General features: G+C 52.3%; 1 protein-coding gene across 9 annotated transcripts in view, besides 1 other annotated feature; it reads right to left on the reverse strand.

Moving 5' to 3' along the window:
- Nucleotides 1-14,663, reverse strand: part of CYFIP1 (cytoplasmic FMR1 interacting protein 1) — a 113,847-nt gene that overhangs the window by 78,574 nt on the left and 20,610 nt on the right. For 5 of the 9 annotated variants that reach the window (NM_001324119.2, NM_001324120.2, NM_001324126.3 and 2 more), the window contains exons 2-3: nucleotides 1,544-1,666; nucleotides 1,378-1,467 (exon numbers count right to left, since the gene is read on the reverse strand). The exons of 1 other annotated variant lie outside the window; for it this stretch is intronic. In NM_001324119.2, coding sequence (NP_001311048.1) covers nucleotides 1,378-1,467; nucleotides 1,544-1,666 — 213 coding nt within the window. Of the gene's footprint in view, nucleotides 1-1,377; nucleotides 1,468-1,543; nucleotides 1,694-2,285; nucleotides 2,405-14,663 lie in introns of all 9 variants that reach the window. 3 more of the 9 variants (NM_001287810.4, NM_001324123.3, NM_001324124.3) reach the window with 3 other exon arrangements.
- Nucleotides 1,503-2,187: an enhancer, noted in NCBI's record as "H3K4me1 hESC enhancer chr15:22925256-22925940 (GRCh37/hg19 assembly coordinates)". NCBI's record gives its function as "activates a minimal SCP1, AML or CMV promoter by ChIP-STARR-seq in naive H9 embryonic stem cells {active_cell/tissue: H9 hESC(naive)}" and the evidence as "EXISTENCE:reporter gene assay evidence [ECO:0000049][PMID:30033119]".

Consider the following 14,663-nt stretch of genomic DNA (forward strand, 5'->3'; position numbering starts at 1 on the left):
TGCAGTGGCACGATCTCAGCTCACTGCAACCTCTGCCTCCCGGGTTCAAGCAATTCTCTTGCCTCAGCCTCCTGAGTAGCTGGGATTACAGGTGTGCGCACCACCATGCCTGGTTAATTTTTGTATTTTTTTTTTTTTGTAGAGACAGGGTTTCACCATGTTGGCCAGGCTGGTCTCGAACTCCTGACCCTAGGTGATCCGCCCACTTTGGCCTCCCAAAATGCTGGGATTACAGGCGTGGGCCACTGCGCCCAGCCTACAGCATTTTTTTATTACACGACATAAAAGAGGAAGTCAATGCGCAAAAATAGTTGAATTGTGGACATTTACAAAATGGTTTACGTAGCCATTAAGGATTGCTTTCTCTAGCACATTTTCATGGCATGAAAATATTCTTGTCCAGGTGCAGTGGCTCAGGCTGTAATCCCAGTACTTTGGGAGGCTGGGCAGGCGGATTCCTTGAGTCCAGGAATTCAAGACCAACCTGGGCAACATGGTGAGACCTCGCCTCTACAAAAAACACAAAAAAGTAGATGGGCATGGTGGTGTGTGCCTGTAGTCCCAGCTACTCAGGAGGCAGAGGTGGGAGGATTGCTTGAACCCGGGAGGTTGAGGCTGCAGTGAGCCCTAATCACACCACTGCACTCTAGCCTGGGCAACCTGAGTGAGACCATCTCAAAAAAAAAAAAGAAAGAAAGAAAACCTGTTGATGAGACCATTAAAATGCAGAACTAGCTAGGTGTGGTGGCTCATGCCTGTAATCCCAGCACTTTGGGAGGCTAAGGTGGGCAGATCACTTGAGGTCAGGAATTCGAGACCAGCCCGACCAACATGGTGAAACCCTGTCTCTACTAAAAATGCACAAATTAGCTGGGCGTAGTGGTGGGCGCCAGTAGTCCCAGCTACTCGGGAGGCTGAGGCACAAGAACTGCTTGAACCTGGGAGGCGGAGGTTGCAGTGAACCAAGATCGCGCCACTGTACTCCAGCCTGGGTGGCAGAGCAAGACTCTGTCTCAAAAAAAAAGCAGAACTATAATAACAATGCAATTCATTTATAAATCTAAATCTCATATGGGCACATACCTGGTGTGTGTGGGTGCAGATCTGGAGAGGGAATGAGCATTAACAGGGCAGGTGCACCCTTGAAACGCTGACAAAGGTTTTCTCTGGGCCAGAGACATTGAATTTTCAGAACCAGCATGTATTGTTTTTACACTAAGAAAAGCAAAGACTGTCTTAAAAATATAAGGCATTTCATTCATTTTCTTCTCTTTTTCCTCACTGCATAGTCTATTGGGATAATACCAAAAAGTATACATCTGTCCTTCAAACACGCCCTTCTCTGCAGAGAGAAACAAAGACACACCGCAACATTACCATGCTAGAGTGGACGGTGGCTTGTTCAATGTATCTTGCGATGCCAGTAACAAATGCATTTCTGTCTTCAAAGTTAGTGTTGAAATTTGGCTGAAGGAAAGGAAGAGAAAAACATCATGTGGGGTCGGAGCACAGGCTGTACGCCCTGCAGCTGCTGGGCACCCACCTGGTAGAGCAGCGAGGATGGCGGGGGCTCGATGCAGGGCTGCTGGTCGGGCAGGGGCAGCTCCTCCAGGAGGTCCACGTTGGACAGCGCGTCCTCCAGAGTCACCTGGGCCGCCATCCTGGGCTGGAACAACACATAAGGACCCCTGTTCTGTGAGGAGAAGGAGGGGACACCCAACAAGCTTCGAGGTTGGGTACCCAGGCCTCTAACCCCTTCCCGCTCTCCCGAGGGCACCGGACATGGCTGACAGGGGCATGATCAGTCCTTGGGAGTTGCGTGTCTCTCTCAGGGCACGTGGGCCAGCAGGCTGGGAGGCCCTGTGCAGCTTATCCTTCCACACTCGCTGAGAACAGGCTCTCCTGGCCTCCAGGAGGGTCACAGTATGGGGCACATGGTTCCTGCCATCCTTCCCACCATGGGGGCCGCCGTCCTGAGTTGCTGGTGCTGAGGACTCTCTCGAGGGTCTGACGACCCCCTCAAAGTGCTGGAGGGGCAGCACCTCTCCAATGCCACATCTGCCCAGCAGAGCCTCCCTAAATGCAGCCACCTCCCAGGTGGTGCCTCCAAACACACTAGGGCCTGACATGGAAAAGACGAGCGCCCTGCCGCCCAACACCAGCTGTCTAGCTGCACAGACAGGCTGAGATTGCAAGGAGTATGGGGCTGCCGCAGGGGACAGAAAGTGCCACACCGCAGCTGGAGCAGAGGTGCAGAAATGAAGGCAGACATCGTCTAAACACACCTTCAGAGCCAGCTCCAGGGAGAGGGGGCAATCTGCCTTCTGCTGAATCTGCTCCAGTCTCAAGGGTACTCAGGAGGAGCTCTGCCCTGGGATGGGACCAGGGGCAGCTGAGCCACATTCTATGAAGGAAAGAGCAGCAGGTGGCCTGGAGGAGACACTGAACAGAAGGAGCCCCAAATCCCTCCTCCAGCACTGGCGCAGGCATGGAGGTGCACAGTGGAACGGGTAGTCAGTCCCACTGCACTGGCTGAGGGTGGAGAAGGGAAGCTCTCCAGGGACCCAGGAAGCCCCAGTGGCAGTGTGGAGAGGAAGCAGCTCAGAAGAGCCAGCCGACAAAATTGCTCATGAGCTTCAAGCCCATCCTCAAGCTGCAGGGGTGTGGATCTGATCCTCTTCACACCCCAAACCCTGAGACCACAGCCAGACAGCCACCAGCGGCACACAGGGGGCAGGTCCAAGTGGCAGTGCAGGAGGCTGTGAAGCCAGAATTGACATGGAGCTGCCACCCACTGAAGGCAAGTCAGAACCACAGCCCAAGTCTCCTCAGGGTGTTTGCTTTCTAAAATAAAAATATCAACATCCTCCTAGGATTTTAACAAGACCCAGATCTCATATCATAACATCCAACCATCCACTTACAGCCCAGATTACTCAGCACACAAAGAACGAGGAACGTATGGGCTCCTACAGGAAAAGAGAATCAACAGATGCCAAAATAACACAGGTGCTGCAATTATCCACCCGACTTTAAAGCAACTACTGTGCTATGAAATGCTCTAACGATTGTAACACTCCCAAACTGAATGAAAAAATGGAAATCAGCAAAAGGCAAACAAAACAAGATATAAAGAAGAACCAAATGGAAATTTCAAAACTAAAAGACACACTACTGAAATGTAAAAAAAAAAAAAAACCTCAGGAAAGATTCAGTGAACTTGAAGATAGAGCAATGTTAAGTTTTCTAATCTGAATACCAGAGAGAAAAAAAGATTGAAAAAATTTTGGGGATCTTCAGGACAAGAGAGAAGGTCTAACATCTGTGCCATGAGAGTGCAAAAGGAAAAGGGGAAACCAAGCAGTGATGAAAAACAGCTGAAAAAAATGACAGAAAACACCCTAAATTTGGAGAAAGTCTTTTGTCTACAGATTCAAGAAGCTCTATGGATCCCAAACAAGACAAACAAGAAATCCACACCCAGACACATCACGGTCAAACTGCTGAACACTAAAGATAAAGGAAAACAGATCTTGAAAACAGCAGGAGAAATGACGCTCAGCAGAGCACAGAGCAACAGTGGGAGGGCCGCGGATTCCCCCCGGGGACCAGGCAGGCCGGAGGGCGGGCACAATGTGCCTAAGCCTAAAGCGGGGACCAGGCGGGCCGGAAGGCGGGCACAATGCGCCTAAGCCTAAAGCGGGGAGGTGCCAACTTGGGATCCTCCCTCAAGATGGGAACGTGTCTTCCAGGAAGGAAGGTGAAGCCAGGACGTGGGCAGAGGAGGAAAACAAAGAGCATGCTGGCCAGCGGTACAGGCTGACAGGAAGGGAGGTGGAAGGAGGCATGGGCTACGAACCACAAAGCAGAGGCAGTAGGCAGGCTAAGCGGCGAGGGCGCAGGACACACAACGACCCCACAGCTCTTCCAAAGTGCTTGGCGGTTAAAAGCAAAAATCAAAGTACTGTCTAATGGGCCTTTCAGTGTACATAAATGTAAATTACACAAATACATAACAAGTAAATTATAAAATATTTCTAGGTATATAATTGTATAAATCATATAAACAAGACAACTGTAATCTAAAAGGGGGAGGGGAAACCTGGATGGGGTAAGATTTCTATGTCCCACTAGAAGTAGTAAAAAGCAGACTTTTCAGATCCTCAGCAGAATATGAAATGTTAATAAGCATGGACTTCGAAATCCTTAGAGCAACCACCGAAGAAAGCTGTACAGCCAGGCGCTGCAGTCCCAGCTACTTGGGAGGCTGAGAAGGGAGGATCACTTGAGTCCAGGAGTTCAAGGCCTGTCTGGGCAACACAGTGAAATCCTGCCTCTTTTAAAAAAAGAAAAATTAACATACTTTTTAAAAAAGCTATCCAAAGCAAAATAGATAACATATAATTTAGAATAAATTAAAACAGAATACTATGTTTTTAAAAACCTAAAAGGAAATAGAGCAATGATAAAGATAGTGATCTAACAGAAGTCAGATAATAAAATGGTAGACCTGAATCGAAACACATTGATAATTACACTATCATAATAATCTAAAAACACCAATTAGAAGAGGTTGTCAGAACAGATAAATAAAATCCTAACCCAACCATATGCCATCTACAAGAAACTTACTTCAAATATACTGATACAGGTAGGTAAGTCGAAAGCAAAAGGGGAAAAAGGTGAACCAGGCAAGCGCTGGCCAAAAGGAAGCTGGGGTGGCTTTGTCAGCACCAGACCCAGCCAGCCTCCGAGCAAGGAACTCATCAGAGAGAGAGAAGGAAGGGGTCAGCTCCCCAAGGAGCCAGAACAACCCTCAATGTGAATGCACCCGGCCAAAAAGCTTCCTTCACGTTACACTAGGCAAAAGCTGACAGAGCTGGAAGAAGAAATGCCATAGCCACCCCCGAATCTCAGTTTCACTTTCCACGATTTCAATGACCAGAGGTCAACTGCACTCCAAAAATATTAAACGGAAAACTCCATTCACAAACACTCCGTAAGTTTTAAACTGTGCGCTGTTCTGAGTAGGATGATAAACTCTCAGACCGTCCTGCTCCTCCCACCCAGGACACAAACCATCCCCTTGTCCAGCGTGTCCAAGCTGTATGTGCGACCCGCCTGTGAGCCACACAGTAGCCGGCTGGGTCGCCAGCATGGGACTGCAGCGGTATGGCCAGGCTGGTCAAGGTCAGCAGCGGCCTAAGGCTGCATTGCAATGCCTGCGCCGCCCATCTCACCGCCATCTCACGGCGGGCACCAAAGGGCAAGAGAGAGAGAGAGAGACCACGTTCACATAACTTTTATGACAGTATATTGTTACAACTGTTCTATTATTATTGTAATCTCTTACCGTGCCTAATTTACCAATTAAAGTTCGTCACTGGTATGCAAGTACGGAAAAACATAGACTACGCAGGGTTCAGTACAGTCTCCAGGCTCAGGCATCCACGCGGGGTGTTGGGCCGGTTCCACAGATACATGGAAACAATTGCAGGCCAATCCCCAATGGCGGCTGGAGACGCCACCCATTTTCTCAGGAACTGACTGGAAATGAGGGAGAACAGAGGCACCGGCCGCACCGCCAGCCACCTGGACCTCCCCGACACGTAAGGGAACGCCCCCGACCGCAGCCGGTCACTGCTGCATGTTCCTCACTAGAAATCTACATGTAGCAGAAACTCTCGTCCACTTCCCTCCACATCACAGCTTCCTGTTCCACACACCTCAGAAAGGAGCAGTGCAGGGCAGCCCCGGCCGGGTGGGTGCAGGGTCCAGCCCCAGCGCTGCCTGCAGAGCCAGCATGGGGGGCCTGCCCTTGGTGTCCACGCAGGCACCTCAGGGTGATGCCGCTCGGAGGGGCCAGGCTGCCTGAGGACGTGCTTCGGCCCCATAGGGGCTGCCCGTGTCCTGCGACTCCAGCCCAGAGTCCCGCAGTCTGCCCTTTCTGCGGCCTGAACCCAGATAGTGCCAGGAGAGGCCTGGGGGCGTGTCCAGTCATGCCCGGGCCCCACGCGGGTCAACAAGAAGACAGGTCGGACCGAGCACCCTGGGAAGCCACAGATCCCACATGGCAACAGCCCCTGACCCCGCGCAGCACCCACAGGGACTCGCCTTCCTCCCCGGCCTCTGCCCAGGAGAGGCCAAGATGACCCCATGGTGGAGGAAGGTGGGGAGGGGCGCCACAGACAGGCTCGGGGGAGAACTGCTCGTGCGTCAGCTGTGATCCACAGCAGGGACCACTGATGTCGAACCCACGGAAAAACGCCAGATGCGCAGCTTGTTGAACCCACGGAAAAACACCAGATAACGCAGCTTGTTGAACCCATGGAAAAACGCCAGATGCGCAGCTTGTTCCAAGCCAGTGCTTGCAGACTTCTTTCTTTGTATAAAAATAACAGTATTTATGTGGTCAGTGGAATGTTAGCCTTAAAAGAAAGGAAATTCTGACAAGTTACAACATGGTTGAACCTTAACGACCTTAGGCTAAGTGAAATACGCCAGTCACAAAAGAAAAAACGCCGCATGATTCCACTCATATAAATTACCTAAAGTGGTCAAACTCAGAGACAGAAAGGAGAACAGTGGTGACAGGGGCTGCGTGCTGGGCTGGGGAGTTGGTGTTTAGTGGATACAGAGTTTCGGCTTGGAAAGATGAAACGCTCTAGCTGGACAGTGGTGGTGGTTGCAGAATAAGGTGAAATGTACTTAACGCCACTGAGCTGTACACTTAAAATGGTGAAGATGGGGGAGGACGCGGTGGCTCCAGCCTATAATCCTGGCACTTCAGGAGGCCGAGGCGGGCGAATCACGAGGTCAGGAGTTCGAGACCAGCCTGGACAATATGGTGAAACGCCATCTCTACTAAAAATACAAAAAATTAGCTGGGCATAGTGACAGGTGCCTGTAATCCCAGCTACTCAGGAGGCTGAGGCAGGAGAATCACTTGAACCCAGGAGGCGGAGGTTGCAGTGAGCTGAGATCGCACCACTGCACTCCAACCCCAGCGACAGAGTGAGGTGAGACTCCATCTCAAAAAAAAAAAAAAAAGGTAAACATGGGGGTAAAGTTTATGTTATGCATGCATATTTTACTACAATCAAAAATAGCAATGTTTGATGCTGATTAATCAGAAAACATGGAAAAGGAAAAAGAAAACCTATCATCAATCATCCCACTGTCCCTTACAAAAACAAGATACTGTCATACAAACTGCTTTGTAAGCTCTTTCTTTCTCCCAGCTTCCACAAAATTTCTCAAGTCATCAGAGCACCGTGCGGAGTGCTGGCCAGGGCCCTGCTGTGGCAAACTGCTGTTCTCTCCTATTCTTCACATTTTCATATTTCAGGTTTTTCATGATCATAGGCAGCCCTCCCACATCCGCCTTGGTGTGTGATGCCAAGCAGCTGTCACCGCACGCACACGGCCTGGGCCCGGCCCGCTTCCAAGGGCTCTCCGTCCGTGCATCTTCCATAGATGCGAATCTGCACAGCTTCTGCCTCACCCTGTTAGGCGGACTTGGAGTAATCAGCTCTAAATCCAAGTCTCCAAGGTCTCAGCCCTGGCAGCGTGGGTGCAGGGTCTGGCCTGGGTGCCACCTACAGAGCCAGCGTGGGGGCCCTGGCGGTGTCCACTCCACACAGGCACATCAGAGCTCATGTCTCATCCCATCTTGTTCTCTGACTCCTCACAGTTCCACCTCCCAAAGCTCTTTCAAGTGCATTTACTTTGCTCCGTCTCTAACTGCCACCAGCGGACCCTGCACCCCACTGCTAGAGAACAAAGGCAATGCGTGACTCCAGCCGCCTGCACCCTGGGATTTTTTCCGGCCCTCCTTTTGTCCTCCCATGAATGCCACGTCCCACAGGGATTTTCCCCCAGCACCAGCATCCAGCACAGCCTCTAGTCTCCTTCTGTGTCTAAGAAGCCCCCATTCCCAGGCAGCAGCACCAGGTCTGGCCTGGTCACTGCAAAGCCAGTGTCCACTGCCCTTGGAATGGAGCCTCAGTTGTATCTGACCAGCCTTTATAAGTGGCTGCCACAGTGCAAATATCCAACAGCATAATTAAAGTCACGTATTTGGAACGGCATACAAACTGTTCTGCCGGTGCTACTAGCCAGCACTTTAGAGTTTAACAATAGGATCAGGGCCTGGTGCAGTGGCTCACGCCTGTAATCCCAGCACTTTGGGAGGCCGAGGCGGGTGGATCACGAAGTCAGGAGATCGAGACCATCCTGGCTAATACAGTGAAACTCCGTCTCTATTAAAAATACAAAAAAATTAGCCAGGCGTGGTGGCGGGCGCCTGTAGTCCCAGCTACTCGGGAGGCTGAGGCAGGAAAATGGCGTGAACCCGGGAGGCGGAGCTTGCAGTGAGCCAAGATCGCGCCACTGCACTCCAGCCTGGGTGACAGAGCGAAGACTGTCTCAAAAAAACAAAAACAAAAACAAAAACAATAGGATCGCATTTCTGTCTCTGCTCCTTCAGCTCGTGTGGACAGGTACATTGATGTCCACTGCTTGGGGCCTGATCAGAGCAGGGCAATGCGTGACCAGGCACAGAGGGAAGACCACGAGAGGACACAGAGAGAAGGTGGCCATTCACAAGAGAGGCCAACCCTGCTGGCCCCCTGATCTCAGACTCCCAGCTCCAGAACTGAGAGAAAGAAATTCCTGCCTGATCTGTGGTGTTTTGTTAATGGTAGCCCTGGCAAATGAACACAGAGCCAAGAACAGGTAGGACGGAGTCACCCAGGTGGGACGCAGATTCCCTGCGCTGTCTGCCAGGTAAGAACCCACACGAGCTGGTATTTTGCTGATCATGAAAATAATACGTGCTCCATGCAGAAAGAGCACACTGCTGGGAACAAAACAAGCCAGCCAGACCTGCATGAGCTCGGTCACAAGGCGCTACCATGCCACAGTTCCAGCTGCCTGTGCCCCCGGCCTCCCCAGGCGGCGAACCGACCCAAAAATAACATGCCCACCCTCGGTTTATGTCATTGAACAACATAAAGAGATGTTTTTTCCTTCCCTGACTGATTTTCTATCAGCAGCAGTTCTCAACCCTCATGTTTGATTCCAAATCCTATAGCTTGTCAAGATATAAAAATGAATTTAAATATGGTAGGGGAACTGCTGTTTTAATAAGCCATCAGTTCGTTTATTTTGTAAATTTAAGAGTTTTTAAAAATAAAGATTTCAAAGGAGGACATCATCATACTTGGCTGCTCTTCCAGTGATGTCCTCAGAGTCCCGGGTCAATCTCTGAGTGTCTCATGGGTCGGGATGCACCTCTGCTCTAGGCAGCTGCAGGGCAGTTTACAGAGTGAGCAACATCCACCGGGCGGTGGCAGACTGGCTCCGTGTCTGAGCTCACATCATGCTGCACACCTCACTCACCTGCTGGATCGTGGAACCCCAGATGGGCTTCAAGGGACCCACGGTGGGCAGGAGGCAAAGGTTCCCAGTGCCACCCACTTGAAGGGCAGTGCCTACAGGGCATGCTGGGGGCTCCATGGGTCCACCTCCTTTCTTCCACATGTCACTGGCTGCCCCTCAGCCTCAGATCCACACAGATGCAGTCTCAAGAAGTGGTCCTCACAGCTGCCTTAAGGTGGAGGCCACCCTGACACATTGGCAAATGAGTGGAGGGAGGCTGGATGGGGTCGCCAGCTGCCCCAGGGCCCACAGCCACAGAGCAAGGTTGAGAACCGCCCTGACCCAGTGCCGGGTGCCCACCCAGGGGGTCAAGGCCAGAGGCACAGAGGTACAGATGGCCACTTTCCAAGTGCGAGTGAGGTGCTGGAGACCGATTTAGGCCTGAGGGGCAGGACAGAGGCAGCATGGAGCTGGAGCCACAGACAGAGTTGCCCCGGCGTGGGCAGGCAGCAGGGGCTGGGGAGGCAGGGGAGCAGGGTCAAGGACCCTGCTGGCCCCAGCAGAGCCCTGAAGATGCTGGAGAAAGTTGGAGACAGCAGGCCAAGGGGCAAAGGCAAAGGAGGCATGCACCAGTGCTTCCACCAACTAGAAAACGGGCAGATCCGCCCAGGCTCCTGGTCTTTAACCCATCTAGATGTGGCCAGCCCTCGCCACACTCCCCCTGCAAGCTCACGGGCTCAGGGCATCAGCCAGTGCCTCCCCATGCTGCCCTTGGGGAACCCAGTTCCCAGAGAGACCCTGGACCTCACTTCTCCACACAGCAGACATCCCAGGAGATGGGAGGGTGATTTTTGTAAAACCTCACAATCATCACATGCTTCAAAACAAAGAACAGTGAATCAACAGAATTTTTTTTAAATGTGATTTGGGGCTGGGCACAGTGGCTCACTTCTCTAATCCCAGCACTTTGGGAGACCGAGGCTTGAGGTCAGGAGTTTGAGACCAGCCTGGCTAACATGGCGAAATACTTCCTCTACTAAAAATACAAAAATCAGCTGGGCATGGTGGTAGGTGCCTGTAATCCCAGCTACTTGGGAAACTGAGGCATGAGAATCACTTGAACCCAGGAGGCGGAGGTTGTAGTGAGCTGAGATCGCGCCACTGCACTCCAGCCTGGGCGACAGAGTGAGACTCTGTCTCAAAAAAAATAAATAAATATGATTTGGTCCTTTTCCCTGTGTCTGAGCAGCATGAGGGCAGGTGGCTGGGAAGAAAGAGATGTCTCTCGTGCTCAGCAGGCAGCTCAGTCAGTAGGTCATAACCCTGAGTCCTGGCATAACTCAACAGTCTTGAAAATGAAAAAAGACACTACTAGGCTGCAAAAACAAATGGAAATTAAAGCAGCCAAGACTAACTTTAACCTGGAAGCAGAGGTGGTGCCAAGAGATTAAAAGGGAAAAGGAAAAAAAAAGTTTGTATGTGTGAGTGTGTATGTGTGTGAGTGTGTGTGTCTTCAATAAGCCAGCATCCCTGGGAGAACACAGGCCCCGTGGGAAACCGGCCTTGGACACCAGACAAAACAAAGGAGTCAAACAAGTCAGGGGCTCTGGAGACGGGGCATCTCAGGGGAGGCTCGGGGCAGGTGGCCAGGAAGGGTGGGGGCTGGTAAAGGGGGAACGGGTGGCCACACCATCCAGATGGCCCCACGGCCCCACTGCCGCCCCGAGACAGCAGTGTGCATGCGGCCACTCTGGCCGGGCCCAGGCTCCCAAGATGCCAGCGAGCACACAGCAGAATGGTGGCTGCACACACAGGGACAACGTGCACTGCCCGCTCCAGCCAGCCCCTGGCCACGGAGGGACCTTGTATTTTACCACATTAGAGGATAAACTTTTGAGATGTATTTACTTCTCTTTCCACCCTAGGTCAAGAGGGAGCTTTTCACAGGGACCGAACAGTCATCTCTTTAGGTGTTAAAATAGAAACTGCCAAGACAGCTCAACACCAAGGTTGCAAAATGTGGAGAAGCCACAATCCAGAAAATGCAGAAGCGAAGGCGTCGGTGCCACGCAGGCGGCAGTGCTGTGGCAGGCGGCACGCCGACGCTAACTCCCGCCACTGCAGCCCGCACTGAGACAGGTGGAGAGATGCTTTGCTAGAAAGAGGGTCTTCCCAGCATTTCTAAACCAGTCATTTAAAAATTTTACAACTTGTGGCCGGGCACGGTGGCTCACGCCTGTAATCCCAGCACTCTGGGAGGCCGAGGCAGGCGGATCACGAGGTCAGGAGATCTAGACAATCCTGGCTAACACGGTGAAACCTCATCTCTACTAAAAATACAAAAAATTGGCCGGGCGCAGTGGCTCACACCTGTAATCCCAGCACTTTGGGAGGCCGAGGCAGGTGGATCACGAGGTCAGGAGATCAAGACCATCCTAGCTAACACGGTGAAACCCCACCTCTACTAAAAATACAAAAAATTAGCCAGGCATGGTGGCGGGCGCCTGTAGTGCCAGCTACTAGGGAGGCTGAGGCAGGAGAATGGCGTGAACCCAGGAGGCGGAGCTTGCAGTGAGCCGAGATCGTGTCACTGCACTCCAGCCTGGGCGACAGAGCAAGACTCCATCTCAAAAAACAAAAAATGTTACAACTTGTAAGCATTCCACTTGTCCAGCTAAACAGCATAATCAAACAAAGACAAACTATGAAATGTTTCTGCAAACGTGCACAAGGCATGAGCTGATTTTCTTCCTCTTCTATATGCAAAATGATGGCACTTCCCAGAAAAGTAGAAACTTCCAATATTTTTGTGCAAGCTGTTCATGTAAAATAGGCATAAAATAAATCATCTGAAGAAGAAAAGCATACTTTGCTGTCCCTTTCTCTCCCAGGTGTAGAAAGAATGTGCTCTTCTGTATTTGGAAGCAGGGGACCGCGCCAGCATGGCTGCAGCTGGTTTTCCCCAGGTTAAACGGCCTGACCGCACGGCTGCAGCACAGAAACAGGCTGTCATGACCAGCAAGGCAAACAGTGCATAGTTAAAAACCAATATAACATCTTCTAGACTAGCTTTATTACTGAAGTAATTTGCTTTTTTTTTTTTTTTGAAATGGAGTCTCGTTCTTGTCACCCGGGCTGGCGCAATCTCGGCTCACTGCAACCTCTGCCTCCCAGGTTCAAGCAATTTTCCTGCCTCAGCCTCTCAAGTAGCTGGGATTACAGGCACCCGCCACCACACCTGGCTAATTTTTGTATTTCTAATAGAGACGGGGTTTCACCATGTTGGTCAGGCTGGTTTTGAACTCCTGACCTCAGGTGATCTGCCTGCCTCGGCCTCTCCAAGTGCTGGGATTACAGGTGTGAGGTAATCTGCTTTCTTTAATGCACAAAAACTTCAAATTCCATCCTCAAAAGCGGCCACTCAAAACCAGCTCAAAAGAACAGCCTCATCAACAGAGAAACAGAAATCAAGTTTGAAAATCACAATGAGGTGCTGACATCTAAAACAGTGTGCCAAGGAACCCTGAAAGAGAGCACGTCTCCACGCCACATGGCCTCCGCCCCCCACCTTGGGGCTGCAGCCCCTTCGGCCAGGGTCAGGCTGCCTCTGGGAGGGGTCTCCCAAGACCAAGTGGTCTCACAACCTCCTAACATCGCCCTCCCCCAGGCTTCCCTCTGATCCCCCAGGCACCGCCAAACCTGCACTCACCTCTGCTTCTCTTCCTGTCACTCTCCTGCTCACGCTTTCACTGGCTCTCTCTGCCTACAGCTGTGGTTTTCAAACCATGCGCCATGAAACCCCAGAGTGCCCCAGGAGGGCAAGGGAGAGCAGTTCTGTCTTTATCTGTCAAATTTGTATGAAAAAAACTATTCGGATGCTAAAATAATTAATAAAAGGCAGAGATGGGGCCCAGTATTCCACAGAATAAAGTCTCAATCGCTCATAGAACACCCAAGGGCCTCCCTCCATCTCCCACACCCCTGGGCCATGGAGGACCCGCTGTGCCATCCACCAGTCCCACTGCCCCAGGTGGGGCCCTCAGGACAATGAGAACATGCACCTCAGCCCAGGGCTGGGCTACCAGGCACACAGATGAGCTCGGGGAAGCTCCATCAGCCCACCTGGCAGATGCCTGGGTTGGGTAGGGATCAGGCTGGTGGGAGGGGCTGTTTCTTTCCCACCTGTGTGCACCTGGGCAACACACAGACAGCATAAACAATTAAGGAGTGCTCCTCGACGACGGCCATTCCTTCATCTTTCACCCGAATCCAGTGCATGTTTAAAAGGCACAAAGGGAAGAAGACAGCGTTTCCCGCTCCACCTACTCTTTCTGTTAGGGCAGACCCACCATGGCGGTCTCCGGGAGGACAGTCACACCACAGAGGGGGCGCTCCCACGCTCAGGAGAAGAGTGGGGGTCCCCATTCACAGATGCCGACACTGAGCCCAGAGGGACAGGGAGCTGCCGCAGCCCCGTGGCTTGCCTCACGTGCCTCAGTGGCGTGGCCCGCATGGCCGGGCAGTCCCGCCTGCTCAGGAGGCCATGGGCTCGGCTGGGCACCAAGCATGACCTCGGGCGCTTGACAAAGCAATTCCACCGCTGGCCATTCTGGCTGGGGGCTCTCAGCCTGCTCTGATTCCTGCGGCTTGAAGGAAAGGGAACTGGCTGCCACCCACCTTGTCCCCCACCTTATCACTGTGCCCAACAGACCGTGTATCTGCTGGGTCCTGCGGCGCCCGGCTGAGGAACAGGCGCCACGGGCGATCGAGCCCCGTGCTCCCCCTCCCCACCAGCCTCTCAGGTTCTCCTCTCAGGGCCCAGGAGGGTGCAGGTTGATGACCAAAGGCTACACGGCAGCCACCAGATCATCTTCACCCAGCATCCACACCTCCTGATGTGCCTGTTCTTTTCCTGTCTCTCCCTCCCCTGTAAGGACCTGAATCCCCGAATCCCCACGTGGCTGGCCTGGATGTGGCCTGGCCCTGCCAGGGTCTGGCATAGCCCAGTAGCAGCCCAGCCCTTCTCCTGCACCAAGTGCACCCACGAGGAGCTGCAGGCTCCCCTACTGCGCCTGGCCTGTGGGCCGAGTGTCTCCCGGGCTCCACCACTGTGCCCAGCCCGTGGGCAGAGTGTCTCCTGGGATCCCCTACTGCCTCCAGCCTGAGGTCAAGCCCATGACCTTAGCTACCACCTACACTACACCTCACTCGCCAATCTCTATCAAGGGTCCTGCTGTCAAGACACTTGGGCTGGAAACACCAGCATCAACCTCACCAGCTTC

Source organism: Homo sapiens, chromosome 15 (genome assembly GCF_000001405.40).
Source record: "Homo sapiens chromosome 15, GRCh38.p14 Primary Assembly".
In the NCBI taxonomy this organism is placed as follows: domain Eukaryota; kingdom Metazoa; phylum Chordata; class Mammalia; order Primates; family Hominidae; genus Homo; species Homo sapiens.